The following is a 27,857-nucleotide window of genomic DNA, read 5'->3' as shown; positions in this document are numbered from 1 at the left end:
AGATTTCTTATGTACAACCTCCTGCACTAACAAAACCCCTTACCAGAGTGATATATTTGTTAGCATCTATGAGCTTGCATTGACATATCATTATCACTCCTAAGTAAGTTCATAGGTAACATCAGGCTTCACTCTGGGTATTATACACCTATCAATTTTGGCAAGTGTGTAATGTCATATATCTATCATTGTAGTTTCACTGCTCTAAAAATCCTCTGTGTTCTATTTATTCAGCCCTCCCTCCCCTCAACCCTGCCAATCACTGATTCTTTTGTTATCTCCATGGTTTAGTTTTGTCATTTCCAGAGGGTTATATAGTTGGAATTATGCGCTATGTATGCCTTTTCAGATGGGATTTTTTCTCTTAGTAGTAAGGTTCCTCTTTGTCTTTTCATGGCTTGCTAGCTTATTTCTTTTTAGTGCTGAATTATATTCCATTGTTTGGATGTACCACAGTTTATTCATTAACCTACTGATGGACATCTTAGTTGCTTCTAAGTTTTGGCAATTATGAATAATATGCTACAAACATTCATGTGTAAGTTTTTGTGAGAACATAAGTTTTCAACTCCTTTGGGTAAGTACCAGGAGTGCAACAGCTGGATTGTATGGTAAGAGTATGTTTAGTTTTGTAAAGAACTGCCAAACTGTCTTCCTGAGTGGCCGTACCATTTAGCGTCTCCACCAGCAATGAATAAGAGTTCATGTTACCTATTTTGGAAAGTGGCCATTTTAATAGTGTTTAGTGGTATTTCATTTTAATTTGGAATTTCCTAATGAAATGTGATGTTGAGCATCTTTTCCTATTCTTATTTGCCAACTATATATCTTCTTTGGTGAAATGTCTGTTCAGGTCTTTTGCTTTTTTTTTTTTTTTTAAGACAGATTCTTGATCTGTCACCCAGGCTGGAGTGGCAGTGGCTCTATCTCGTCTTGGCTCACTGCAACCTCCGCCTCCTGGGTTCAATCGATTCTCCTGCCTCAGCCTCCCCAGTAGCTGGAATTACAGGCACCTGCCACCAAGCCCGGCTAATTTTTGTATTTTTCATTGAGACAGGGTTTTACCATGTTGGCCAGGCTGGTCACAAACTCCTGACCTCAAGTTATCTGCCTGCCTTGGCCTCACAAAATGCTGGGATTGCAGGTGTGAGCTCCTGTGCCCAGCTGTCAAATGTTTTTTCTACATCTTTTGATAGGATCATATGGTTTTACTTCTTTACTCTCTTGCTATGATGAATTACATTAATTGATTTTCAAATGTTGAATCAGCCTTTCATACCTATAATAAATCCCACTTAGTCGTGGTGTATAATTCTTTCTATACATAATTGGATTTGATTTGCTGTATTTTGTTGCTAATATTTGCTAACATTTTGTTCCTTTTGTTGAGGATTTTTGCATCTATTTTTATGAGAGATTTTGGATTGTAGTTTTCCTTTCTTATAATGTCTTGCTTGGCTCTGGCATTAGGTAATACTGGCTTCATAGAACCAGTTTCCACTATGTCCTGGAAGACATGGTGGAATTGGTTTAATTTCTTCCTATATGTTTAGTTATGTTTAATTATATGTTTAGAATTATTCAGTGAACCCATCTGGGCTTGGTGCTTTCTGTTTTAGAAGGTTATTAATTATTGATTCAATTTCATTAATAGATACAGGTCTATTCATATTATCTGTTTTCCCTTGTGAGAGTTTTGGGAGATTCTGACTTCTTTATCTTTACGTAATGCTCCTCTTAATTCCCAATAATTTTCCTTGCTCTGAAGTCTTCTTAGTCTGAAATTAATATAGCTACCCTACTTCCCCTTCATTAGTGTTAGCATGGTATATCTTTCTCTATCTCTTTACTTTTAATGTATCTGTGTCTTTCTATGTTTAAAGTGGGTTTCCTGTAGACAGCATATAGTTGGGTCTTGCTTTTGGATCCACTCTGACAACCTGTCTTTTAATTGATGTATTTAGACCATTGACATTTAAACTGATTACTGATACAGTTGGATTAATATCTACCATATATGTTACTGTTTCCTATTCATTGCCCTTGTTCTGTTGTTGTTGTTACTGTTTTCCTCTTCTATTTTTCTGTCTTCTCTGGTTTTAACTATTTTGTATGATTCCATTTTTTCTCTTCTCTTAGCAGATCAATTATACTTACTTTTTTAAAAAACTTTTTTTTGTTATTGCCCTTGAGTTTGCAATGTACATTTACAACTAATCTATCTAAGTCCTCATTCAAATAACACTATACCACTTCCTGCAAGTACTTTGTAACAGACTCTTTACAGTTTCCCCTCCCCCGTGCCTTATAACACTGTGGTCATTCATTTCACTTATCCATAGCTATAGTCACCAAATACATTGTTGCTATTATTATTTTGAACAAGCCATTATTTTCATTTTTGTATCTTTTAATTAACATATAATAATTGTATGTATTTTTTGGTTCCACAGTAATATTTCAGAACATACAGGTTATAGTGATCAGATCAGGGTAATGAGCATATCCATCATCTCAAACATTTATCATTTCTTTGTGCTAGGAACATTCAGTATTCTCTCTTCTAGCTATTTGAAAATATATACAATTGACCCTTGAACAACATGGGTTTCAACTGCAGCAGTCCACTTATACACAGATTTTTAAAAAATAAATATACTGGAAAAATTTCTGAAGATTTGTGACACTTTGAAAAGACAGATGAACTGCCTAGCCAGAAATATTCAAAAAATTAAGAAAAGGTTAGGTATGTCATAAATACATAAAATATATGTAGATACTAGTCTATTTTTATCATTTACTACCATAAAATATGTACAAATCTGTTACAAAAAGTTGAAATTTATCAAAGCTCACACACAGTTCATACATGGCATCATTTGCAGTCAAGAAATATAAACAAATATAAAGATGCAGCATCAAATCATAACTGCATAAAATTAACTGTGGCACACACTGTACTACTGTAATAATTTTGTAGCCACCTCCTGTTGCTGTTGACATGAGCTTAAGTGTTACAATTATCCACTTAAAATGTCAGGTGATGCTCATCATCTCAAGAGCAGTTCATCTCTTCAGTACATTGGGTATGGCAGTAAAAAGTGATCTCTTCATGGTTCTCGTGTATTTTTCGTTGTGTTTAGTAAAATATCACAAACTTGGAATAACATAAGACCCATACAAAGTGCCACTAGTGTATAATTCTTTGTATACATTATGGGATTTGATCTGCTAATATTTTGTCGAGAATTTTTGTGTCTATTTTCATGAGAGATTTTGGTTTGTAGTTTTCCTGGAAGTTCTCCCAAGAGACAGAGAAGAGTCATTACTTTACAAGAAAAAATGGAATTGTTTGATATTTACCATAAATTGAGGTCTGCAGCATGGTTACCCACCATTTCAGACAGACATTTCATCTTGTAAACAGATTATGTAAATTTACAGTATTGGTAAATACAGTATATACCGTAAATGCATTTTTCTTATTATTTCCTTGATAACATTTTTCTGGTATACTTTATTGTAAGAATATAGTATATAATGCATATGACATATATGTACAATTAACTGTTTATCAGTAAGATTTTCAGTCAACAATAGACTACTAGTAGTTAAGTTTTGGGGGAGTCAAAAATTATACATGAATTTTGACCACATGGGGGGTCAGCACCTTAACTCCTGTGTTGGTTGTTCAAGAGTCAACAATAATATATTATTGTTAACTACACTCATCCTACAGTGCTATTGAATACTAGAACTTCTTTTGTATCCTTTAACAAATTTCTCCCTAATCCCTGCTTTTCCCTGTTTCCCAGCCTCTAGTATACTCTGTTCTACTTTTTACTTCTATGAAATCAACTTCATTTTAGCGTCTGCATATAAGTGAGAACATGTGGTGTTTAACTTTGTGTTCCTGGCGTATTTCACTGAACATAATGTCATTCAGTTTCATTCCCGTTGCCACAAATGAGAAGTTTTCATTCTTTTTATGGCTGAATGGTATTCCATTGTGTATGTATACCACATTGTCTTTATCCCTTCATCTGTTGTTGAACACTTAGGTTGATTCCATACCTTGGTTATTGTGAATAGTGCTACCAAAAAAAATCAGGGTGCAGACATCTCTTCAATATAATGATTTCCTTCCCTTTAGATAAAGGCCTGGTTGTGGGATCACTGGATCATACAGTAGGTTGATTTGTAGTTTTTGAGGAACCTCCATACTGTTCTCCGTAATGGTTGTACTAGTTTACAATCCTACCAACAGTGCATAAGAGTTCCCTTTTCTCTGCATCCTCACCAGCATTTGTATTTTTTGGCTTTTTGATGATAGCCATTCTAACTGGGGTGAGATGATATCTCACTGTGGTTTTGATTTGCATTTCCTGAAGGGGTGGCCTGCCCCTCCACACCTGTGGGTATTTCTAGTTGGGTGGGACGAGAGACTGAGAAAAGAAATAAGACACAGAGACAAAGTATAGAGAAACAACAGTGGGTCCAGGGGACCGGTACTCAGCACACCAAGGACCTGCACCGGCATCGACCTCTGAGTTCCCTCAGTTTTTATTGATTATTACTTTCATTATTTTAGCAAAAAGGAGTGTAGAAGGAGAACAGGGTGATAATAAGGAGAAGATCAGCAAAAAACATGTGAGCAAAAGAATCTATGTTATAATTAAGGTCAAGGGAAGATACTATGCCTAGACGTGTATGTGGGCCAGATTTATGTTTTTCTCCACCCAAACGTCTCAGCAGAGTAAAGAATAACAAGGTAGCATTGCTGCAAACATGTCTCGCCTCCCACCATAGGGCGGTTTTTCTCCTATCTTAGAACTGAACAAATGTACAATCGGGTTTTATACCGAGACATTCAGTTCCCAGGGGCAGGCAGGAGACAGTGGCCTTCCTCTATCTCAACTGCAAGAGGCTTTCCCCTTTTACTAATCCACCTCAGCACAGACCCTTTACAGGTGTCGGGCTGGGGGACGGTCAGGTCTTTCTCATCCCACAAGGCCATATTTCAGACTATCACATGGGGAGAAACCTTGGACAATACCCAGCTTTCAAGGGCAGAGGCCCCTGCGGCTTTCCGCAGTGCATTGTGCCCCTGGTTTGCTGAGACTAGAGAATGCCGATGACTTTTACCAAGTATACTGCTTGTAAACATTTTGTTAACAAGGCAAGTCCTGCACAGCCTTGGATCCCTTAAACCTTGATTTTATACAACACATGTTTTTGTGAGCTCCAGGTTGGGTCAAAGTAGTTGGGTCAAAGTGGCTGGGGCAAAGCTACAAATTAACAACATCTCAGCAAAGCAATTGTTTAAAGTACAGGTCTTTTTCAAAATGGAGTCTCTTATGTCTTCCCTTTCTATCTAGACACAGTAACAGTCTGATCTCTCTTTCTTTTCCCCACAATTTCCCTAATTATTAGTGATATCAAACATTTTTTCATGTGTTTTTGGCCATTTGTGTGTTGTCCTTTTAGAACTGTCTGTTCAGATCATTTGCCTATTTTTTTTTTCTTTTGAGACAGAGTCTCACTCTGTCACCCAGGCTAGAGTGCAGTGGCACTTTCTTGGCTCACTGCAACCTCCACCTGCCCGGCTCAGGTGATCCTTCCACCCCAGCTTCCCAAGTAGCTGGGACACAGGCACAAGCCACCATGCTTGGCTAATTTTTGTATTTTTCTTTTTGTAGAGACAGGGTTTTGCTGTGTTGCCCAGTCACGCACTCCTGGGCTAAAGTGATCCACCTGCCTTGGCCTCCCAAAGTGCTGAGATTACATGCATGAACCATCATGCTAGCCTCATTTGCCCATTTAAAAATTAGATTTTTTTGTTCTGTTGACATGTCTGAGTTCCTTGTATATTCTGGATATTAATTCTTTGGTGGATGAATAGTTTACAAATATTTTCTTTTCTTTCCTTTTTTTTTTTTTTTTTTTTTGAGTCTCAGTCTGTCGCCCAGGCTGGAGTGCAGTGGTGCGATCTTGACTCACTGCAACCCCTGCCTCCTGTGTTCAAGTGATTCTCCTGCCTCAGCCTCCTCAGTAGCTGGGTTTACAGGTGCCCACCACCATGCCCGGCTAATTTTTTTTTTTTTTTTTTTTTTTTGTATTTTTAGTAGAGATAGGGTTTCACCATGTTGGCCAGGCTGGTCTCGAACTCCTGACCTCATGATCCACCTGCCTCAGCCTCCCAAAGTGCTGGGATTACAGGCATAAGCCACCACGTCTGGCCAGTTTGCAAATACTTTCTCCCATTCTGTAGGTTGTCTTTTCATTGTGTTGTGTCTTTTGGTGTGCAGAAGCTTTTTTAGTTTGATATAATCCCACTTATTTATATTTTGCTTTTGTTGCCTGTACTTTTGAGTTCTTATTCATAAAATCTTTTCCAGGACCAATGTCCTGAAGCATTTCCCCAGGTTTTCTTCTAGTAGTTTTATAGCTTCAGGTTTTACATTTAGGTCTTGAAGAGATTTTGAGTTGATTTTTGTGTAGAATAAGAGGAGAGAGTCTAGTTTTGCTCTTCTGCATATGGATATCCAATTTTCCCCAGAACCATTTACTGAAGAGACTGTCCTTCCCCAATCAATGTTCTTGGCATCTTTGTCAAAAGTCAGTTGGCTGTAGATACATGGATTAATTTATGGGTTCTCTATTCTGTTCCACTGGTCTGTGTGTCTGGTTGTATGCCAGTACCATGCTGTTTTCGTTAATAGAGCTTTGGTAGTATATTTCGAAGCCTGGTACTGTGATGCATCTAGATTTGTTCTTTTTGCTTAGTATTGTTTTGGCTATTTGCGGTCTTTCGTGGTTCCATGCAAATTTTAGGATTTTTTTTTTTCTATTTCTGTGAAGAACATCATTGGTATATTGATAGAGAGTGCATTGAATCTTTTGATCACCTTGGGTAGTAGAGTCATTTTAACAATATTAATTTTTCTAATCCATAAAGATGGGATGTCATTCTATTTTTTGATGTCTTCTTCAATTTCTTTCAAAAAATCATTGTTTTTTGGTGTTTTTTAAGTTTTCCTTGTAGAGAGCCTTCACCTCCTTGGTTAAATTTATTCCTAGGTATTTTATTTTTTGTAATTTTTGCAGATGGAATTACTTTCTTGATTTCTTTTCCAGCTAGTTCATTGTTCTTATATAAAAACACCACCAATTTTTGTATGTTGATATCTATATCCTGCAACTTTACTGAATTTATTAGTTTTAAGAGTTTTTTGGGTAGAGTCTAAGTTTTTCTATATATAAAATCATGTCATCCACAAACAGGGACAATTTGACTTCCTTCTTTCTAATTTGAATGCCCTTCATTTTTTTCCCCTTGCCTAATTGCTCTGGCTAAGACTTTCAGTACTATTAATATGTTGAATAAGAGTGATGAGAGTGGGTATCCTTGTCTTGTTCCAGTTCAGTATATGGTAGCTGTGGGTTTGTCTTATATAGCCTTTATTGTGTTGAGGTACTTCCTTCTATGCCTAATTTATTGAGAGTTTTATGAGGGATATTGAATTTTATCAAACGCTTTTTCTGGATCTATTGAGATGATCGTGTTGTTTTTGTCCTTCATTCTGTTGTGATGTCTCACATTATTTGTGTAGGTTGAATAATCCTTGCATCCCTAGGATAAATCCACTTGATAATAGTGTATGATATTTTTGATGTGCTGTTGAATTCAGATTTTGTTGAAGATTTTTGCATTTATGTTCATCAGAGACATTGGTCTAGTTTTTTTATGTTGTGTTTTTATCTGGTTTTGGCGTCAGGGTTATGCTGGCCTTGTAAAATGGGTTTGGAAGAATTCCCTCCCCTTCAATTTTTGGGAATAGTTTGAGAAGAATTTTTAAAAATATTAGTTCTTTAAAAGTTTGGTAGAATTCAGCAGTGAAGACATCTGGTCCTGGACTTTTCTTTCTTGATTTCCTTTTCATTACTGTGATTCAATCTCATTACTCATTATTGATCTGTTCAGGTTTTCTATTTCTCCTTGGTTCAATCTTGATAGGTCGTATGTGTCAACAAATTTACCCATCTTCTCTAGGTTCTCAAATTGATTAGTTTATAATTGTTTATAATAGTCTCTGATGATCTTTTGTATTTCCACAGTATCAACTGTAATGTCTCCTTTTGTTTGTGATTTTATTTGGGTCTTCTCTTTTTTTCTTAGTCTAGTTAATGCTCTGTCAATTTTGTTGATCTTTTTGAAAAACCAACTTTTTGTTTCATTGATCTTTTCTATTTTTTTAGTCTCAATGTCATTTATTTCTGCTTTTTATTTTTTTTTCCTTTTTCTAATTTTGAGTTTGGTTTGTTCTTGCTTTTCTAGTTTCTTGAGGTGCATCATTAGCTTATTTATTTGAAATCTTTCTGTTTTTAATGTAGGCATTTATTGCTATAAACTTGCCTCTTGCTATACTTGCTGTAAACTTGCTATAAACATGGCTTTTGTTGTGTCCCATACATTTTGGTATGCTGTGTTTCTATTTTCATTTGCTTCAAGGAATTTTTTTTTTTTTTGAAACAGGGTGTCACTTTGTCCCCCATGCTGGAGTGCAGTGGTATGATCACAGCTCACTGTGGTTTCAACCTCCTGGGCTCAAGCAATCCTCCCATATCAGCCTCCCAAGTAGTTGGGACTGCAGGCATATGCCACCACACTTGGCTAATTTTTTCTGTTTTTGGTAGAAACAAGGTTTTGCCATGTTGCCCAGGTTGGTCTTGAATCCCTGGACTCAAGCAATCTGCCTGCCTTAGCCTCCCAAAGTGCTAGGATTACAGGGGTGAGGTATTTTTTACTTTCTCTCTTAACTTCTTTTTTTAATCAATTGGTCACTCAGGAGCATGTTGTTTAGTTTTCACGTATTTGTATAGTTCTGAGTGTTCCTCTTGTTATTGGTTTATACTTTTATTCCATTGTGGTCAGATAAGATACTTAATATTAGTTCAATTGAAACAATTTTTTTTCAAAGTTTTATGATTTGTGTTGGGAACATTCAAAATCCTCTTTTCTAGCTATTTGAAAGTATATAATAAATTATTATTAACTATAGTCATCTTACAGTGCTACAGAACAGTAGAACTTATTCCTCCTATCTAGCTTTAATTTTTGTATCCTTTAACAAGTTTATCCTTATCCTGCCAACCCCTCCCAGCCTCTGTTCTACTCTTTCTCATGAGATCAACTTTCTTTCTTTTTTTTTTTTTTTTAGTATTTATTGATCATTCTTGGGTGTTTCTCGGAGAGGGGGATGTGGCAGGGTCATAGGATAATAGTGGAGAGAAGGTCAGCAGATAAACACGTGAACAAAGGTCTCTGGTTTTCCTAGGCAGAGGACCCTGCGGCCTTCCGCAGTGTTTGTGTCCCTGGGTACTTGAGATAAGGGAGTGGTGATGACTCTTAACGAGCATGCTGCCTTCAAGCATCTGTTTAACAAAGCACATCTTGCACCGCCCTTAATCCATTTAACCCTGAGTTGACACAGCACATGTTTCAGAGAGCACGGGGTTGGGGGTAAGGTTATAGATTAACAGCAGCCCAAGGCAGAAGAATTTTTCTTAGTACAGAACAAAATGGAGTCTCCTATGTCTACTTCTTTCTACACAGACACAGTAACAATCTGATCTCTCTTTCTTTTCCCTACATTTCCCCCTTTTCTTTTCGACAAAACCGCCATCGTCACCATGGCCCATTCTCAATGGTCGTTGTCTCTTCGGAGCTGTTGGGTACACCTGCAGAAAGGCTGTCACTTCACACTTGGAAGATTGCACAGCGGCCAGGCAGAGGTGCTCCTCACTTCCCAGACGGGGTGGCTGGGCAGAGGCGCTCCTCACATCCCAGACAATGGGTGGCCGGGCAGAGGCGCTCCTCACCCCCAAGATGGGGCGGCCGGGCAGAGGCGCTCCTCACTTCCCAGACGGGGTGGCCGGGCAGAGGCGCTCCTCACTTTCTAGACGGGGCGGCCAGGCAGAGATGCTCTTCACATCCCAGACGGGGTGGTGGCCGGGCAGAGGCGCTCCTCACTTCCTAGATGAGGTGGCGGCCGGGCAGAGACGCTCCTCACCTCCCAGACAGGGCGGCCGGGCAGAGGCACTCCTCACCTCCCAGACGGGGCGGCCGGGCAAAGGCGCTCCCCACATCCCAGATGATGGGCGGCCAGGCAGAGATGCTCCTCACTTCCTAGACAGTGTGGCGGCCGGGCAGAGGCGCTCCTCACATCCCAGACGGGGCAGCCGGGCGGAGATCACGCCACTGCACTCCAGCCTGGGCAACATTGAGCACTAAGTGACCGAGACTCCGTCTGCAATCCCAGCACCTCGGGAGGCCGAGGCGGGCAGATCACTCGAGGTCAGGAGCTGGAGACCAGCCCGGCCAACACAGCAAAACCCGTCTCCACCAAAAATACAAAAACCAGTCAGGCATGGCGTCGCGTGCCTGCAATCCCAGGCACTCGGCAGGCCGAGGCAGGAGAATCACGGGAGCCCGAGGCAGGGAGGTTGCAGCGAGCCAAGATCACGGCAGTACAGTCCAGCCTCAGCAACAGAGGGAGACCGTGGAAAGAGAGAGAAGAGAGAGAGAGGGAGAGCGAAACAATTTTTTAAGGTTTCTTTTTTGTGTCCTAACATATGGCCAATCCGGGAGAATGTTTTATGTGCTGATGAAGAGAATGTGTATTCTGCAAGTACTATGAAATGTTCTGTAAATGTCTTCTAGGTCTTTTTGGTCTATGGTACAGTTTAAATTTGCAGTTTCTTTGTTGACTTTCTGTCTAGATGATCTGTCCAATGCTAAGAGTAGGGTGTTGAAGTCTCCAACTGTTGTTGTATTGGGGTGTACCTCTGCCTTTAGATCTAATAATAATTGCTTTATATATCTGGGTGCTCTGGTGTTGGATGCATATATATATATACACACATATATATATTTTTTTGAGATGGAGTTTCACTCTTCTTGCCCAGGCTGGAGTGCAATGGCACAATCTTGGTTCACCACAACCTCCACCTCCCAGGTTCAAGTGATTCTCCTGCCTCAGCCTCCCAAGTAGCTGGGATTACAGGCATACGTCACCATGCCTGGCTAATTTTCTATTTTTATTAGAAACAGGGTTTCTCCATGTTGGTCAGGCTGGTCCTGAACTCCCGACCTCAGGTGATCTGCCCTCCTTGGCCTCCCAAAGTGCTGGGATTACAGGCGTGAGCCACCGTGCCCAGCTGAAAAGTTCTCTCTTTTACAAAAATTTTATTATTAAAATAGAGGGTCTCCCTATGTGACCCAGGCCGGTCTGGAGCTCCTGGGCTCAAGCAGTCCTCCTGCCTATGGCCTCCTAAAGTGCTGGGATTACAGGCGTGAGCCACCGTGCCTGGCCAGGTGCATGTATTTTTATAATTGTTATATTCTCTTGCTGAATTGATTCCCTTATTATTATATAATGTTATTATTTGTCTCTTGGTACTTTTTAACTTAAAGTCTGTTTTTTTCTGATGTAAATATAGCTACTCCTACTTCCTTTTAGTTTTCATTGGTGTGGAATATCTCTTTTCATCCTGTTACTGTCAGTCTCTGTCTTTTCAGGTGAGGTGAGTTTCATGTAGGCAGCATATAGTTGGGTGTTTTTTATTCATTTAGCCAGTTTATATATTTTAATTGGGGGATTTAATTTGTTTACATGCAAGGTTATTATTGATAATAACCTGAGCTTCTGCTCAAGTAATTTAGGATTCTCTGTATTTATCTGTCTCTTACCAGTTGGGAGGTAGTGAGTTAGCCATATGACCTCAGTCCTCTGATGCATCTAAGAAAAGTTGCTGATTTTCAGTTTGTTCAGCTTTTTTCTTATTGTGAGGATGTGAGTGATGACTTCCAAATTCCTGACATTATCTTTTACAGACACTTAAATATTAATGATTTTTTAAAAAAATCTTTTATGTTTACCTACAAAGTTACCATTTCTATTGTTCTTTATTCTTTGGTGTAGATCCAGAGTTCCAATTATCTGAAACTTCCCCTAAGATATCTTGTAGTGTAGGTCTACTTGTAATGAATCTTTTCAATATCTATACATCTGGAAAAGAAATAAGTAAATATCTCAATTTTTATATTTTTATCTTTAGGTTTTTTTCTATTCCTATAACAGATTATGTATTTTTATTTTTAGGAGTTGTGTTTGGTCTATTTAATATTGCCTATTTCTTCTATTATGTTCATACTTTGCTTTAACTCCTTCAGCATGTTTATGATAACTACTTTAACATTCTTACTGGCTAGTTAAATTATCTCTTTCACATCTACATCTACATCTAAGACCAATTTTTTTCCTGGTTATGGATGCTGTGAATTTTATATTGGTAAATGCTGGACATTTTGTATTCCTTTAAAGAGCTTTAGACTTCACTCTTTTAGGTAGTTAAATTGCTACTGGATTAGTTTGATCTTTTCAAGACTTATTCTAGGTGCAGTGGCCCACACCTCTAATCTCAGCTACTCAGAAGGCTAAGTCAGGAGGATTACTTAAGCTCAGAAGTTTGAGGCTGCAGTGAACTATGATTGTGCCACTGCACTTCCAGGCTAGATGACAGAGCAGTTCGCCATCTCTTAAAAAAAAGAAGACGACTTGTGTTTAAGCTTTCTTACAGTAGTTTTAGAGTAACCTTTACTCTAAGGCTATGTTAGCTTCACCACTAAGGAGACCTGAATTCCTCTGGTGCTGAACAAAGACTCAACTCTGGTTGGCAATAACTTATATTTCTTAGTCTTGTGTGATCTCTGGGAGCTTTCAGTTTACAGCCCCTTAGATGTTCTTTTGCTGGCTTCCTGGAATTTTACCTTACTGATGCATCTCTTAGTACAGTCATGTGCCACATAACAATGTTTCAGTCAGCAACAAACTGCATATGCAACAGCGGTGCCATAAGATTATAATACCATATTTTTACTGTTCTTTTCTACGTTTAGATACACAAATACATGCCATTATGTTACAGCTGCTTACTGTATTCAGTACAGTAATATGCTGTACAGATTTATAGCCTAGGAGCAACAGGCTATACCATATACACCATCTAGATTTGTGTAAGTACACGTTATGATGTTCACACAATGATGAAATCGCCTAACAACACACTTCTTAGAATGCGTGACTAAGAATTCTATGAGCAATGCCTGGCTGTATTTATCAGTAGAACCAAGAGAGCACCTCTGTAGATTTTTAAGACATTCATTCACCTTTTCCATTCATCTTCCTCCTCTGCTCACAAACTCCAGTCACCTAAGCTTTCCCTAATGCTGATGTCCTCAACTCAGCAATACTGTTGAGGAGAACTTAATGCCGGTTTCCTCAATTCAGCAATACTGCAGAGCTCTGATTCTGATCACACCTCCCTGCTCTGTAGTCTAGAAAGTGCCAGGCAGCCTGCTGAGGAACGGGGATCACCTTATTCACCTCTCTTCTCTCAGAGGCCACAGTCCTGCACTGGCTATTGAACAATTTCAAAAAAACAGTTGTTTCATTAATTTTGTCCAGTTTTCTAGTTGTTTACAGCAGGTGGGTAAGTACAGTCTAAGTTGTTCTATCCAGGTTACAAAAGCGGAAGTTGACATCATTCAATTTTAAAATCAACAATTATATAACAGTCCTTATTTTGGGAATACAGGGCAAGGAAAGAGATTGAATACCAGGAACTGATGTTTCTTTTAACTGGAGGAGTAAGTCTTAAAAGTGCTGAGAAAAATCCTGATCCAACTTGGCTACAGGACAAAAGCTGGGAGGAAATCTGTCGGGCAAGTGAATTTCCTGCCTTCAGAGGACTCAGGTGATTGTTTAAATTCGATGATTTATCATTGAATGGCAATATGTAAACTTGTTCTTCAATTTAGTGATTTTTAAATGGTTTTAAATAGCTGTCTGGTTTCTACTCCTTGTTCAACAATCTCTTTTAAGTTTTTCCCAATAAAAAGAATAATTCTTAAGCTTTTTTCTATTAGGCAACATTTTTGTGAACATATATATGAATGGCGAGAAATCTATGACAGTAAAGAGCCACATAATGCTAAATTTCCAGCACCAATGGATAAGAACCTAAATGAACTACAGAAAATAATAATTCTTCGGTGTTTAAGACCTGATAAGGTAAAAGACCAATGTGTTCTATTTGGAACCCAGATAATTTGCCATTTATGAAGTGCTAGGCTTAAAGTTCTTGTTATTTGATTCTTTAACTCTCAGATTGATTATCCAGCTTACAGTTCATTGAGCTCTTTGGATTTAGATCTGTGGGTTTACTGTTTTCCTCAATTTAGGAATATTTTTGGTTATTATTTCTTCAAATATTATTTCACCCCACCCAGGATTTCAGTTGCACATATATTAGATTGCCTAATGTGATGCTAATGTAATATAATGTAATTGATACTTTGTTAATTATTTTTTAAGCCGTGGTATCTCCTTGCATCAGTTTGGGTAGTTTCTGTTGCTATCTTTACATTTGTTGATTTCTTCTTTTGTATTGTCTAATCTGCTACAAATCCCTTTCCCATTTTAATTTTAGTAATTGTGTATTTCATCTCTAAAAAATTTGTTTGGTTCTTTTTGTGTATCCTATTTCTCTTTTTAATCTGCTAATATTTTCTTTTAAATAGTTGAACACAGTTATAATAACTGTTTTAAAATTAGTGACTACTAATTCCATCATTTCTGGATCTGTTTCTATTGACTGATTTTACTTTTAGTTATACATGATAATTTCCTGCTTTTTGGCATGTCTAATAATGTCTGATTGGATACTGGACATTGTGAATATCACATTGTTGATGAGTTAGATTTCATTTTCCTATAAAGATTGTTGAGTTCTGTCCTGCTAGTTCAGGGGTCAACAAACACCTGTGGGCCAAATCCAGCCCCACGATGTCTTTGGTCCATCCCATGAACTAAGAATGTTTTTTATATTTTTAAAAAGAGTAGTTTTGACTGGGCACAGTAGCTCATGCCTGTAATCCTGGCCTTTGGGAGGCCGAGGAGGACAGATCACTTGAGGTCAGGAGTTCAAGACCAGCCTGGCCAAGATGGTGAAACCCTGTCACTACTAAAAATACAAAAATTAGCCAGGCATGGTGGTGCATGCCTGTAGTCCCAGCTATTCAGGAGGTTGAGGAAGGAGAATTGTTTGAACTGGAGAGGCGGAGGTTGCAATGAGCAGAGATCGCACCACTGCGCTACAGCCTGGGTGACAGAGCGAGACTCCATCTAAAAAAAAAAAAAAAAAAAAGTTGCCTTAAAAAGAACATGTATCCGGGCACGGTGGCTCATGCCTATAATCCCAGTACTTTGGGAGGCTGAGGTGGGTGGATCGCTAGGTCAGGAGTTCGAGCTCGGGAAGCTGAGGCAAGAGAATCACTTCAACCTGGGAGGCAGAGGTTGCAGTGAGCCAAGATCGAACCACTGCACTCCAGCCTGGGTGGCAGAGTGAGACTCTGTCTCATAAAAAATAATAATAAAATAAAAAAGAACATGCAACAGAAACTGTATATGTCCCACAAAGCCTAAAATATTTCTTATCTGGCCCTCTACAGAACGTTTATCAACTTCTGTGGTTATGTAGTTAAATTACTGAAGTTTGAATTGTTCCTTTCAAATATTGTTTAAGATTTGTTAGGATGGTCTAGAATAGCCTTTATTCAATGCATTATTTAGCTCTACCAAAGTGCCACCCGTCTGGGGCCTTTACTGAATGCTCCAAGCGATCACTAAGGACTCTCTATGGCTTTTGGGAACCTGAATGAGTCCCAGCCTTCATGAACAGTGGTAGCTCCCCAGATCTCCTGGTTACAGCACCTCAGATGCTCTTTTCTTGGTCTCATGCATACACACCATAGTGTTCAGCAAGGATTCAGAGGTACTGTGAGCAGATTTCTGAACTCTGCCTGGACAGTTCTATCCTAATTAGAACTCTGCAACTTCCAGCAGCCTTGGCCCCTTTGTAGTCTTTTTCTTGTTTTTGCAACTCAGTGACACTGCATTGCTCTGCCTTAATCACTCTCGCTGTTCCACAGTCTAGCATACCTCCAAGAAGAAAGCTGAGAGAATAGCGTTCAGTTTGTTTTCTTTTTCTCAGTGATCACAGTCCTATACCACCTATTGCCCCCTGTGCAAAAATGGTGGTTTCATTAATTGTGCCTGTTTTTTAAATTGTTTGTGGTAGTAGGGTAAATCCAATCCCTATAACCACATCATAGCTAAAAGTAGAAGATGGCAGAAAATTTTGTACATGTCACAATTTTATTAGTTCAAACATGCACAGAAATCTTTCTAAAGGTAAGATAAGTAGGCTGACACCAATTTTCACAAATTTAAGAAAGGTGATCATAGTATTACAAAGGGATAATTTTGTAATAGAAAGAAAACAAGAAACCATGTTCATACATCTAGTTTAAACTTTGAGTAATGTTAAAAAATTATTCATGACAAATGTTAAAGCAGTAAGGAAGACTTTGTTCAAGACTATCACAGTAGGAAAGAGAGCTCAGGCTTAGTTCGAAATACAGCAGAGACAGTTGGGGATTTATAGTCAAGGAGCAGGGTGGGGGGAAATTACTAAGAAGAGACACCAAGGGTAGGGGGAATTCTTGCTACCCTGACCTAACAAAATTCTTGCTGAAAGCAGGCCAGGGTGATGAGATACCACCTGGGAGATGGCAGGGTATGAGGAATTTGATCAGATATGGAGGGCGATCAGATGTAGAGGGTAGGGGACTCTCACTAAACTGGCTAGCAGGGTTCTTGCTACAACTGGGCTCTTGAAGACAAGGCCTCATAGAAAAAGGGGTTCAGAGGAGCCTGTCTAACTAAGGTTTGTTTGAGGAAAGAATCTTTACCAGTAAGTCACTTCACCTACACCATGAAAAATATGAAGGTTTTGAAAGTGATTGCAATAGTCCCTTCGTTTCTTCCTTCTTTTTTTAAAAGAAAAAAATTTTACCGTTTTAGTAAAGTCTCACAAGGAACATTATCTAATGCTCTGTCTCTGGGTAGATTTAAACAGAGGCCTACATAAATGTTTTACTCCTTACCCTGATTCCCAAAGACCTTTGTACTTGGTTAATATTCATCTCATTCTTGCCTGATAGTTGTGTGTGCATATGTGTCTGTGTATAGACATACACAGTGACTCTAACTAGAGAGTCACTTTAAGTCCCTGGAACCCCTAAATAATGGTTTATTCATTATTTTATCACCAGTAGCCTCCCTTGTTCATGACGAAGACTTAATAGCTATGTATCTGGGAACACCTGCCTATTTGCACTTTACAGAATGGCTCCCCTGATGGGCAGTAGAGATATTGTTTCAATACCACATGTAGGGTTTTTGCTTTGTCTGCCGTGTTTGGAAGCCTGTGCTTATATACCATAGCCCTTACCCCATTAGAATGTACAATAATTGTCTGCTTACTTTTTAGGGTCTCCCACTAGACTGTGAGCTTCTTGAGGTCAAGATTCATGTGTTATTTTCCTCTGTATCGCCAGGATTTAGAGCAATGTCTGACAGATGGTAGAAGCTCAACAAATGTCTATGAATTAAGTTGAATTGAATTGAGTTAAACTAAATGGAATTAAAGCCTATATTATTCAGGCCTTCTACTTGTTTCCCTCTGTTCTCCAGAGAAATAAAACAACAGGGGAGGGGAATTGATTGATTGATTGATTGATTTTCTGAAAGGAATTGGCTGGTGTGATTGTGGAAGCTGGTGAATCTGCATGGTAAGCTGGCAGGCTGGAAACTCAAGGAGGAGTTGATGTTGCAGCTCAAGTCCAAAGGCAGTTTGCTGGCAAAAGGTCCTCTTCCTCAGGGGAAATCAGGCATTTTTCTTTTTTTTTTTTTTTTAATTATTATACTTTAAGTTTTAGGGTACATGTGCACAATGTGCAGGTTAGTTACATATGTATACATGTGACATGCTGGTGCACTGCACCCACTAACTCATCATCTGGCATTAGGTATATCTCCCAATGCTATCCTTCCCCCCTCCCCCCACCCCACAACAGTCCCCAGAGTGTGATGTTCCCCCTCCTGTGTCCATGTGTTCTCACTGTTCGATTCCCACCTATGAGTGAGAATATGCAGTGTTTGGTTTTTTGTCCTTGCAATTGTTTGCTGAGAATGATGGTTTCCAGCTTCATCCATGTCCCTACAAAGGACATGAACTCATCCTTTTTTATGGCTGCATAGTATTCTATGGTGTATATGTGCCACATTTTCTTAATCCAGTCTATCATTGTTGGACATTTGGGTTGGTTCCAAGTCTTTGCTATTGTGAATAGTGCCGCAATAAACATACGTGTGCATGTGTCTTTATAGCAGCATGATTTATAGTCCTTTGGGTATATACCCAGTAATGGGATGGCTGGGTCAAATGGTATTTCTAGTTCTAGATCCCTGAGGAATCACCATACTGACTTCCACAATGGTTGAACTAGTTTACAGTCCCACCAACAGTGTAAAAGTGTTCCTATTTCTCCACATCCTCTCCAGCACCTGTTGTTTCCTGACTTTTTAATGATTGCCATTCTAACTGGTATGAGATGATATCTCATTGTGGTTTTGATTTGCATTTCTCTGATGGCCAGTGATGGTGAGCATTTTTTCATGTGTTTTTTGGCTGCATAAATGTCTTCTTTTGAGAAGTGTCTGTTCATGTCCTTTGCCCACTTTTGGATGGGGTTGTTTGTTTTCTTCTTGTAAATTTGTTTGAGTTCATTGTAGATTCTGGATATTAGCCTTTTGTCAGATAAGTAGGTTGCGAAAATTTTCTCCCATTTTGTGGGTTGCCTGTTCACTCTGATGGTAGTTTCTTTTGCTGTGCAGAAGCTCTTTAGTTTAATTAGATCCCATTTGTCAATTTTGGCTTTTGTTGCCATTGTTTTTGGTGTTTTAGACATGAAGTCCTTGACCATGCCTATGTCCTGAATGGTAATGCCTAGGTTTTCTTCTAGGGTTTTTATGGTTTTAGGTCTAACGTTTAAGTCTTTAATCCATCTTGAATTGATTTTTGTATAAGGTGTAAGGAAGGGATCCAGTTTCAGCTTTCTACATATGGCTAGCCAGTTTTCCCAGCACCATTTATTAAATAGGGAATCCTTTCCCCATTGCTTGTTTTTCTCAGGTTTGTCAAAGATCAGATAGTTGTAGATATGTGGCGTTATTTCTGAGGGCTCTGTTCTGTTCCATTGATCTATATCTCTGTTTTGGTACCAGTACCATGCTGTTTTTGTTACTGTAGCCTTGTAGTATAGTTTGAAGTCAGGTAGTGTGATGCCTCCAGCTTTGTTCTTTTGGCTTAGGATTGACTTGGCAATGCAGGCTCTTTTTTGGTTCCATATGAACTTTAAAGTAGTTTTTCCCAATTCTGTGAAGAAAGGCATTGGTAGCTTGATGGGGATGGCATTGAATCTATAAATTACCTTGGGCAGTATGGCCATTTTCACAATATTGATTCTTCCTACCCATGAGCATGGAATGTTCCTCCATTTGTTTGTATCCTCTTTAATTTCATTGAGCAGTGGTTTGTAGTTCTCCTTGAAGAGGTCCTTCACGTCCCTTGTAAGGTGGATTCCTAGGTATTTTATTCCCTTTGAAGCAATTGTGAATGGGAGTTCACTCATGATTTGGCTCTCTGTTTGTCTGTTATTGGTGTATAAGAATGCTTGTGATTTTTGTACATTGATTTTGTATCCTGAGACTTTGCTGAATTTGCTTATCAGCTTAAGGAGATTTTGGGCTGAGACAATGGGGTTTTCTAGATATATAATCATGTCATCTGCAAACAGGGACAATTTGACTTCCTCTTTTCCTAATTGAATACCCTTTATTTCCTTCTCCTGCCTAATTGCCCTGGCCAGAACTTCCAACACTATGTTGAATAGGAGTGGTGAGAGAGGGCATCCCTGTCTTGTGCCAGTTTTCAAAGGGAATGCTTCCAGTTTTTGCCCATTCAGTATGATATTGGCTGTGGGTTTGTCATGGATAGCTGTTATTATTTTCAGATACATCCCATCAATACCTAATTTATTGAGAGTTTTTAGCATGAAGGGTTGTTGAATTTTGTCAAAGGCCTTTTCTGCATCTATTGAGATAATCATGTGGTTTTTGTCTTTGGTTCTGTTTATATGCTGGATTACATTTATTGATTTGAGTATATTGAACCAGCCTTGCATCCCAGGGATGAAGCCCACTTGATCATGGTGGATAAGCTTTTTGATGTGCTGCTGGATTCAGTTTGCCAGTATTTTATTGAGGATTTTTGCATCAATGTTCATCAAGGATATTGGTCTAAATTCTCTTTTTTGGTTGTGTCTCTGCCAGGCTTTGGTATCAGGATGATGCTGGCCTCATAAAATGAGTTAGGGAGGATTCCCTCTTTTTCTATTGATTGGAATAGTTTCAGAAGGAATGGTACCAGTTCCTCCTTGTACCTCTGGTAGAATTCGGCTGTGAATCCATCTGGTCCTGGACTCTTTTTGGTTGGTAAGCTATTGATTATTGCCACAATTTCAGATCCTGTTGTTGGTCTATTCAGAGATTCAACTTCTTCCTGGTTTAGTCTTGGGAGAGTGTATGTGTCGAGGAATTTATCCATTTCTTCTAGATTTTCTAGTTTATTTGTGTAGAGGTGTTTGTAGTATTCTCTGATGGTAGTTTGTATTTCTGTTGGATCAGTGGTGATATCCCCTTTATCATTTTTTATTGCATCTATTTGATTCTTCTCTCTTTTTTTTCTTTATTAGTCTTGCTAGCGGTCTATCAATTTTGTTGATCCTTTCAAAAAACCAGCTCCTGGATTCATTAATTTTTTGAAGGGTTTTTTGTGTCTCTATTTCCTTCAGTTCTGCTCTGGTTTTAGTTATTTCTTGCCTTCTGCTAGCTTTTGAATGTGTTTGCTCTTGCTTTTCTAGTTCTTTTAATTGTGATGTTAGGGTGTCAATTTTAGATCTTTCCTGCTTTCTCTTGTGGGCATTTAGTGCTATAAATTTCCCTTTACACACTGCTTTGAATGTGTCCCAGAGATTCTGGTATATTGTGTCTTTGTTCTCGTTGGTTTCAAAGAACATCTTTATTTCTGCCTTCATTTCGCTATGTACCCAGTAGTCATTCAGGAGCAGGTTGTTCAGTTTCCATGTAGTTGAGCGGTTTTGAGTGAGTTTCTGAATCCTGAGTTCTAGTTTGATTGCACTGTGGTCTGAGAGATAGTTTGTTATAATTTCTGTTCTTTTACATTTGCTGAGGAGAGCTTTACTTCCAACTATGTGGTCAATTTTGGAATAGGTGTAGTGTGGTGCTGAAAAAAATGTATATTCTGTTGATTTGGGGTGGCGAGTTCTGTAGATGTCTATTAGGTCCATTGGTGCAGAGCTGAGTTCAACTCCTGGGTATCCTTGTTGACTTTCTGTCTCGTTGATCTGTCTAATGTTGACAGTGGGGTGTTAAAGTCTCCCATTATTATTGTGTGGGAGTCTAAGTCTCTTTGTAGGTCACTCAGGACTTGCTTTATGAATCTGGGTGCTCCTGTATTGGGTGCATATATATTTAGGATAGTTAGCTCTTCTTGTTGAATTGATCCCTTTACCATTATGTAATAGCCTTCTTTGTCTCTTTTGATCTTTGTTGGTTTAAAGTCTGTTTTATCAGAGACCAGGATTGGAACCCCTGCCTTTTTTTGTTTTCCATTTGCTTGGCAGATCTTCCTCCATCCTTTTATTTTGAGCCTATGTGTGTCTCTGCACATGAGATGGGTTTCCTGAATACAACACACTGATGGGTCTTGACTCTTTATCCAATTTGCCAGTCTGTGTCTTTTAATTGGAGCATTTAGTCCATTTACATTTAAAGTTAATATTGTTATGTGTGAATATGAACCTGTCATTATGATGTTAGCTGGTTATTTTGCTCATTACTTGATGCAGTTTCTTCCTAGTCTCCATGGTCTTTACATTTTGGCATGATTTTGCAGCGGCTGGTACTGGTTGTTCCTTTCCATGTTTAGTGCTTCCTTCAGGAGCTCTTTTAGGGCAGGCCTGGTGGTGACAAAATTGCTCAGCATTTGTTTGTCTGTAAAGTGTTTTATTTCTCCTTCACTTCTGAAGCTTAGTTTGGCTGGATATGAAATTCTGGGTTGAAAATTCTTTTCTTTAAGAATGTTGAATATTGGCCCCCACTCTCTTCTGGCTTGTAGAGTTTCTGCCGAGAGCTCAGCTGTTAGTCTGATGGGCTTCCCTTTGTGGGTAACCCGACCTTTCTCTCTGGCTGCCCTTAACATTTTTTCCTTCATTTCAACTTTGGTGAATCTGACAATTATGTGTCTTGGAGTTGCTCTTCTCGAGGAGTATCTTTGTGGCATTCTCTGTATTTCCTGAATCTGAATGTTGGCCTGCCTTGCTAGATTGGGGAAGTTCTCCTGGATAATATCCTGCAGAGTGTTTTCCAACTTGGTTCCATTCTCCCCGTCACTTTCAAGTACACCAATCAGACGTAGATTTGGTCTTTTCCCATAGTCCCATATTTCTTGGAGGCTTTGTTCGTTTCTTTTTATTCTTTTTTCTCTAAACTTCCCTTCTCGCTTCATTTCATCTTCCATCACTGATACCCTTTCTTCCAGCTGATCGCATCGGCTCCTGAGGCTTCTGCATTCTACACATAGTTCTCGTGCCTTGGCTTTCAGCTCCATCAGCTCCTTTAAGCACTTCTCTGTATTGGTTGTTCTAATTATACATTTGTCTAAATTTTTTTCAAAGTTTTTAACTTCTTTGCCTTTGGTTTGAATTTCCTCCTGTAGCTCGTAGTTTGATTGTCTGAAGCCTTCTTCTCTCAACTCGTCAAAGTCACTCTCCGTCCAGCTTTGTTCCATTGCTGGTGAGGAACTGTGATCCTTTGGAGGAGGAGAGGTGCTCTGCTTTTTAGAGTTTCCAGTTTTTCTGCTCTGTTTTTTCCCCATCTTTGTGGTTGTATCTACTTTTGGTCTTTGATGATGGTGATGTACAGATGGGTTTTTGGTGTGGATGTCCTTTCTGTTTTAGTTTTCCTTCTGACAGACAGGACCCTCAGCTGCAGGTCTGTTGGAGTTTGCTAGAGGTCCACTCCAGACCCTGTTTGCCTGGGTATCAGCAGAGGTGTTTGCAGAACAGTGGTTTTTCGTGAACCACGAATGCTGCTATCTGATCGTTCCTCTGCAAGTTTTGTCTCAGAGGAGTACCCAGCCGTGTGAGGTGTCAGTTTGCCCCTACTTGGGGGTGCCTCCCAGTTAGGCTGCTCAGGGGTCAGAGGTCAGGGACCCACTTGAGGAGGCAGTCTGCCCGTTCTCAGATCTCCAGCTGCGTGCTGGGGGAACCACTGCTCTCTTCAAAGCTGTCAGACAGGGACATTTAAGTCTGCAGAGGTTACTGCTGTCTTTTTGTTTGTCTGTGCCCTGCCCCCAGAGGTGGAGCCTACAGAGGCAGGCAGGCCTCCTTGAGCTGTGGTGGGTTCCACCCAGTTGGAGCTTTCCAGCTGCTTTGTTTACCTAAGCAAGCCTGGGCAATGGCGGGCGCCCCTTCCCCAGCCTCGCTGCCGCCTTGCAGTTTGATCTCAGACTGCTGTGCTAGCAATCAGCGAGACTTCATGGGCGTAGGACCCTCTGAGCCATGTGGGGGATATAATCTCCTGGTGTGCCGTTTTTTAAGCCCATCGGAAAAGCGCAGTATTGGGTGGGAGTGACCCAATTTTCCAGGTGTCATCCGTCACCCCTTTCTTTGACTAGGAAAGGGAACTCCCTGACCCCTTGCGCTTCCCGAGTGAGGCAATGCCTCGCCCTGCTTCGGCTTGTGCATGGTGCGCTGCACCCACTGACCTGCGCCCACTGTCTGGCACTCCCTAGTGAGATGAACCAAGTACCTCAGATGGAAATGCAGAAATCACCCCTCTTCTGCGTGGCTCACGCTGGGAGCTGTAGACCGGAGCTGTTCCTATTCGGCCATCTTGGCTCCTCCCCCCAGGCTTTTTTCTTTCTTAAGGCTTTCAACTGATTGTATGAGGCCCACCACATTGTGGAGGGCAATCTGCCTTACTCCATATCTACTAATTTAAATATTAATCTCATCCAAAAATACCTTCACAGCAACATGTGTAGACTGCTATTTGACCAAATATCAAGATATCATGGCCTCCCAGGCCATCTTTGGCTGATTTATATAACAATTCAATAGGTTAAAAATGGTATCTAAGTATAGTTATAATTTGTATTTTTCTTATTATGAGTATTAGCGTATAAATGAAGCTGCTGTAACAAAGGGACCTAAAGTACAGTGGCTTAAATCAAATAGAAGTTAATTTCTCTCTCTCCTAACAGCTCAGAGGCAAATGATGAAGGGCTGACAGGGAAGCTCTTGCTCCTGAGATCACCCAGAAACTCAGGTTCTTTCATGCTTACAGTGTGGTCCTCATCAGCAAAATGGAAGCTGGCTTGTGAACGCTATGTTGAAAAGAGAAGAAATTGTTGAAGGCAAATAGCTTCCTTAAAATATTATCTGGAAGATCCATAAGTAATTTCTACTTGTATCTCTCTGGCCAAAACTTAGTCACATGGCCACATTACCTGCAAGAAATGCCAGGAAAACTTGGGGTTCTAATACCAAACAGAGACAAATAAGTGGGACAATATGCAATCTCTGCTATAATGAGTGACATTGAGCATCCCTCATATGTTTAGGATCAATTTGTACTTGATTTTCTCTAAGCAGTTTGTCTCCTTTGCCCATTTATCTTTTGGATAGTCTTCTCCTATAAATGTATATAGTTTTTATTTTTTAGAGAAATTAGTGCTTTGTCTATGATGCTATATGCTTTTTTTGACCATTAGGCTCAAATTGTATTCTTTGTTGTTTTTCAATAATATTCATATCCATTATGTGAAATAAAAGTTGCTCTAAAGATCATATCTTTTCTCTTCAACAGATAACCCCAGCTATAACAAACTATGTAACTGACAAACTAGGGAAAAAGTTTGTAGAGCCTCCACCATTTGATTTGACAAAGAGTTACTTGGATTCAAATTGCACCATTCCCTTAATTTTTGTTCTATCTCCAGGAGCAGATCCTATGGCCAGTAAGTGCATATACTGTAAACTTTTAAGAAATCATAAATAAAACATCTTGCTCAATACTGATTCCTTATATGATTATAAATCAGTTAGTAAATCTGATATTTACAGAGAAACGTAACTAGAATTTTTCATGATAAAACACCTATACATAAGGCACTTTTTTATAATTTTAGAGTAAGTAGTGTGACCATTTTTTTGTGCCTCTTATAGGCCTGCTGAAATTTGCAAATGATAAATCTATGTCTGGAAATAAGTTTCAAGCTATTTCACTGGGACAGGGACAAGGACCGATTGCAGCAAAAATGATTAAAGCAGCAATTGAAGAAGGAACTTGGGTGTGCCTACAGAATTGCCATCTTGCAGTGTCCTGGATGCCCATGTTGGAAAAAATATGTGAAGATTTTACCTCTGAAACCTGTAACTCATCCTTTAGGCTTTGGCTGACAAGCTATCCATCTTCAAAAGTATGTTTATTTCCTTATAGAGTTAAGTACATTTACTTAGCTATCTGTATATCTTATTTGTTTTGTTTGTTTGTTTTGAGACGGAGTCTTACTCTGTCTCCCAGGCTGGAGTGCAGTGGCGCAATTTCGGCTCACCGCAAACTTCGCCTCCCGGGTTCAAGCGATTCTCCTGCCTCAGCCTCCCCAGTAGCTGGGATTACAGGCGCATACCACCATGCTCGGCTAATTTTTGTATTTTTAGTAGAAATGGGGTTTCACCATGTCAGCCAGCCTGGTCTCGAACTCCTGACCTCAGGTGATCCACCCGCCTCAGCCTCCCAAAGTGCTGGGATTTCAGGCATGCACCACCACGCCTGGCCAGCTGTCTGCATATCTTAATCAAGCCTCAGATGCTTAACCTTAAGAGGTTTTTTGAATATTTCTGGAGTTCTCCATTATGCCTGTTTTTTAATCCACGTGTATATGCACTTTTAGAGCCTCCACTTGCTATCTTGTATAATGCTCTCCATTTATTTTGTCTTAGTTCCCAGTAACAATTCTACAGAATGGAGTAAAAATGACTAATGAACCTCCCACGGGTCTTCGGCTGAATCTCCTTCAATCATATCTCACTGATCCAGTTTCTGATCCTGAGTTTTTCAAGGGATGCCGTGGAAAGGAACTGGTAATATTCATCTTTTGGAACTTTTAAAATGTGTTTTATAGTGATCAAATATGGAAGTGTAAAATTTTGTTTAATAATGCTTTTGTAACATTTTTATTTAATGTTTTTAAAACTTTACGCATTTCCTAACAAGACAAAAATTGTACTTATCTTGTTCACCATTTTATTCAATATAGTTTGTGTTCCACTTCCCACACAGTAGACATCGAAATAAATATTTGTTGAATGAATGAATCTTAGTTTGTAAGCCAAAGCCCAGTAATGTTTTTGATTAGGACCCGAGAGTAGAAATCTATTTTCCCATTGTTGATTCTTTTTCAACAAGTATGTGTGCCAGGCCCTCTCCTAGGTAGTGTAGATATAAAGCAATGAGAACAAAATAGACAGACAAAGAAATCTGCCTTTATGAAACTTAGATTCTAGTAATAATGTTAAGCATATTAATAGTGCTTTTTCGTATATCCACCTTAAACAGTTTTGTTTACAGTACTGGAGACTTTAAGGGTCCCAGTAGAGAGTACTCATTTCCCTGCCTGAATTCTTACCAATTGAGAAACAGGGAAAAGTATAAATGTATGGTAACCAAATTATAGGCTTAATTATTGATATAGGCTAGATTGGAAGATATAGCTTATATCTGTGAACAAATGGGTTTCATATTACTGAGCCCTAAAATTAAGCAAATTTATCCACCCAGAAGAGTAAAGGAAAACCCAGGTCCCTGTAAGAAGCTCACTTCTAAGAAAGAAAAGGGAGAAGCTGGGCTGAGCATATCTGGTTAATTTTCCCCAAGTTTACCAGTCCGGTAGGTCACTCCTCTCTCCTGCAGCAAGTGAGTACAAGAATGGAGAAAAGTCCAGCGTGTTACATTATTAATTGGGCACATGAAACATTACTGTGAGAAAATCATCCCCTGCCCTCACCCCAACATGTACTATTTATCATATTTTCATGTTTGAGCTAGAAAAAATGATATTGAAGGTAAAATTAACTAAATTCTTTGAAAGTCAGGTATTTTCCCTCTGCTTAATGACACTTTCTGTGTACCCTAGTTCTGCGCCATAATTTTGTTTGCAAATCTTAGAACAAGAGAGGATATTTTGTGGTTTTATTTAGAAAGAGAGCTTAGTAGAATGGAGAAGATAGTATGGTGTCTAATCCTCATCCAGAGTTTGAGCTCCTGCAATTAGAAGAGCGAGGGCAAGAAAGAGAAGGGAAATTTTGAAAGATTCTAAGCTCAAGCAGAGCTAATTTGGGACTCAGATTATTCAAATAAAAATGGTGCTGAGTTAGAGAAGAAGCATTCTCACTCCTTGGGTATTACAACATTGAGCAAGCTACGCTGGCACCGTAAGTATTGGGATTTGTTGGGATATCTGAAGTTAGTATCCTTGCCATGTATCATCATTTTTGTGATGAACAGTGGTAATAGGTAAGGCTTCACCAAGCAACTTCTCTGGTAGTACAAACAAATGAAAGCTGGGGTAAGAGAAGTAAAAGAATGTAAATGCCCTGTGACATGGGTTCTCAGTATGCATCCGATTCCCCTAGAGGGCTTGTTCAAACACATCTTGCTGGGTCCCATCCCCAGAGTCTCTAA

At 39.3% G+C, this 27,857-nt stretch overlaps 1 protein-coding gene across 8 annotated transcripts in view, besides 4 other annotated features; it reads left to right on the top strand.

Annotated features, from left to right (window-relative positions):
- DNAH12 (dynein axonemal heavy chain 12) overlaps window positions 1–27,857 on the top strand; it is a 262,335-nt gene that overhangs the window by 207,435 nt on the left and 27,043 nt on the right. For all 8 annotated transcript variants that reach the window (XM_047447667.1, XM_011533468.2, XM_047447668.1 and 5 more), the window contains 5 exons: window positions 13,660–13,818; window positions 13,991–14,135; window positions 24,981–25,131; window positions 25,340–25,593; window positions 26,117–26,257. In XM_047447667.1, coding sequence (XP_047303623.1) covers window positions 13,660–13,818; window positions 13,991–14,135; window positions 24,981–25,131; window positions 25,340–25,593; window positions 26,117–26,257 — 850 coding nt within the window. The remainder of the gene's footprint in view (window positions 1–13,659; window positions 13,819–13,990; window positions 14,136–24,980; window positions 25,132–25,339; window positions 25,594–26,116; window positions 26,258–27,857) is intronic.
- Window positions 9,072–9,272: a silencer, noted in NCBI's record as "peak4667 fragment used in MPRA reporter construct". NCBI's record gives its function as "represses an SCP1 promoter by STARR-seq MPRAs in K562 erythroleukemia cells {active_cell/tissue: K562}" and the evidence as "EXISTENCE:reporter gene assay evidence [ECO:0000049][PMID:32103011]".
- Window positions 9,072–9,678: a biological region, named in NCBI's record as "NANOG hESC enhancer GRCh37_chr3:57372950-57373478".
- Window positions 9,150–9,678: an enhancer, noted in NCBI's record as "NANOG hESC enhancer chr3:57372950-57373478 (GRCh37/hg19 assembly coordinates)". NCBI's record gives its function as "activates a minimal SCP1, AML or CMV promoter by ChIP-STARR-seq in naive H9 embryonic stem cells {active_cell/tissue: H9 hESC(naive)}" and the evidence as "EXISTENCE:reporter gene assay evidence [ECO:0000049][PMID:30033119]".
- Window positions 23,626–24,149: an enhancer, noted in NCBI's record as "H3K27ac-H3K4me1 hESC enhancer chr3:57358479-57359002 (GRCh37/hg19 assembly coordinates)". NCBI's record gives its function as "activates a minimal SCP1, AML or CMV promoter by ChIP-STARR-seq in naive H9 embryonic stem cells {active_cell/tissue: H9 hESC(naive)}" and the evidence as "EXISTENCE:reporter gene assay evidence [ECO:0000049][PMID:30033119]".

The sequence above is a fragment of the Homo sapiens genome, chromosome 3, assembly GCF_000001405.40.
Source record: "Homo sapiens chromosome 3, GRCh38.p14 Primary Assembly".
NCBI lineage: Eukaryota > Metazoa > Chordata > Mammalia > Primates > Hominidae > Homo > Homo sapiens.
This window is presented reverse-complemented; position numbering and strand designations above follow the sequence as displayed.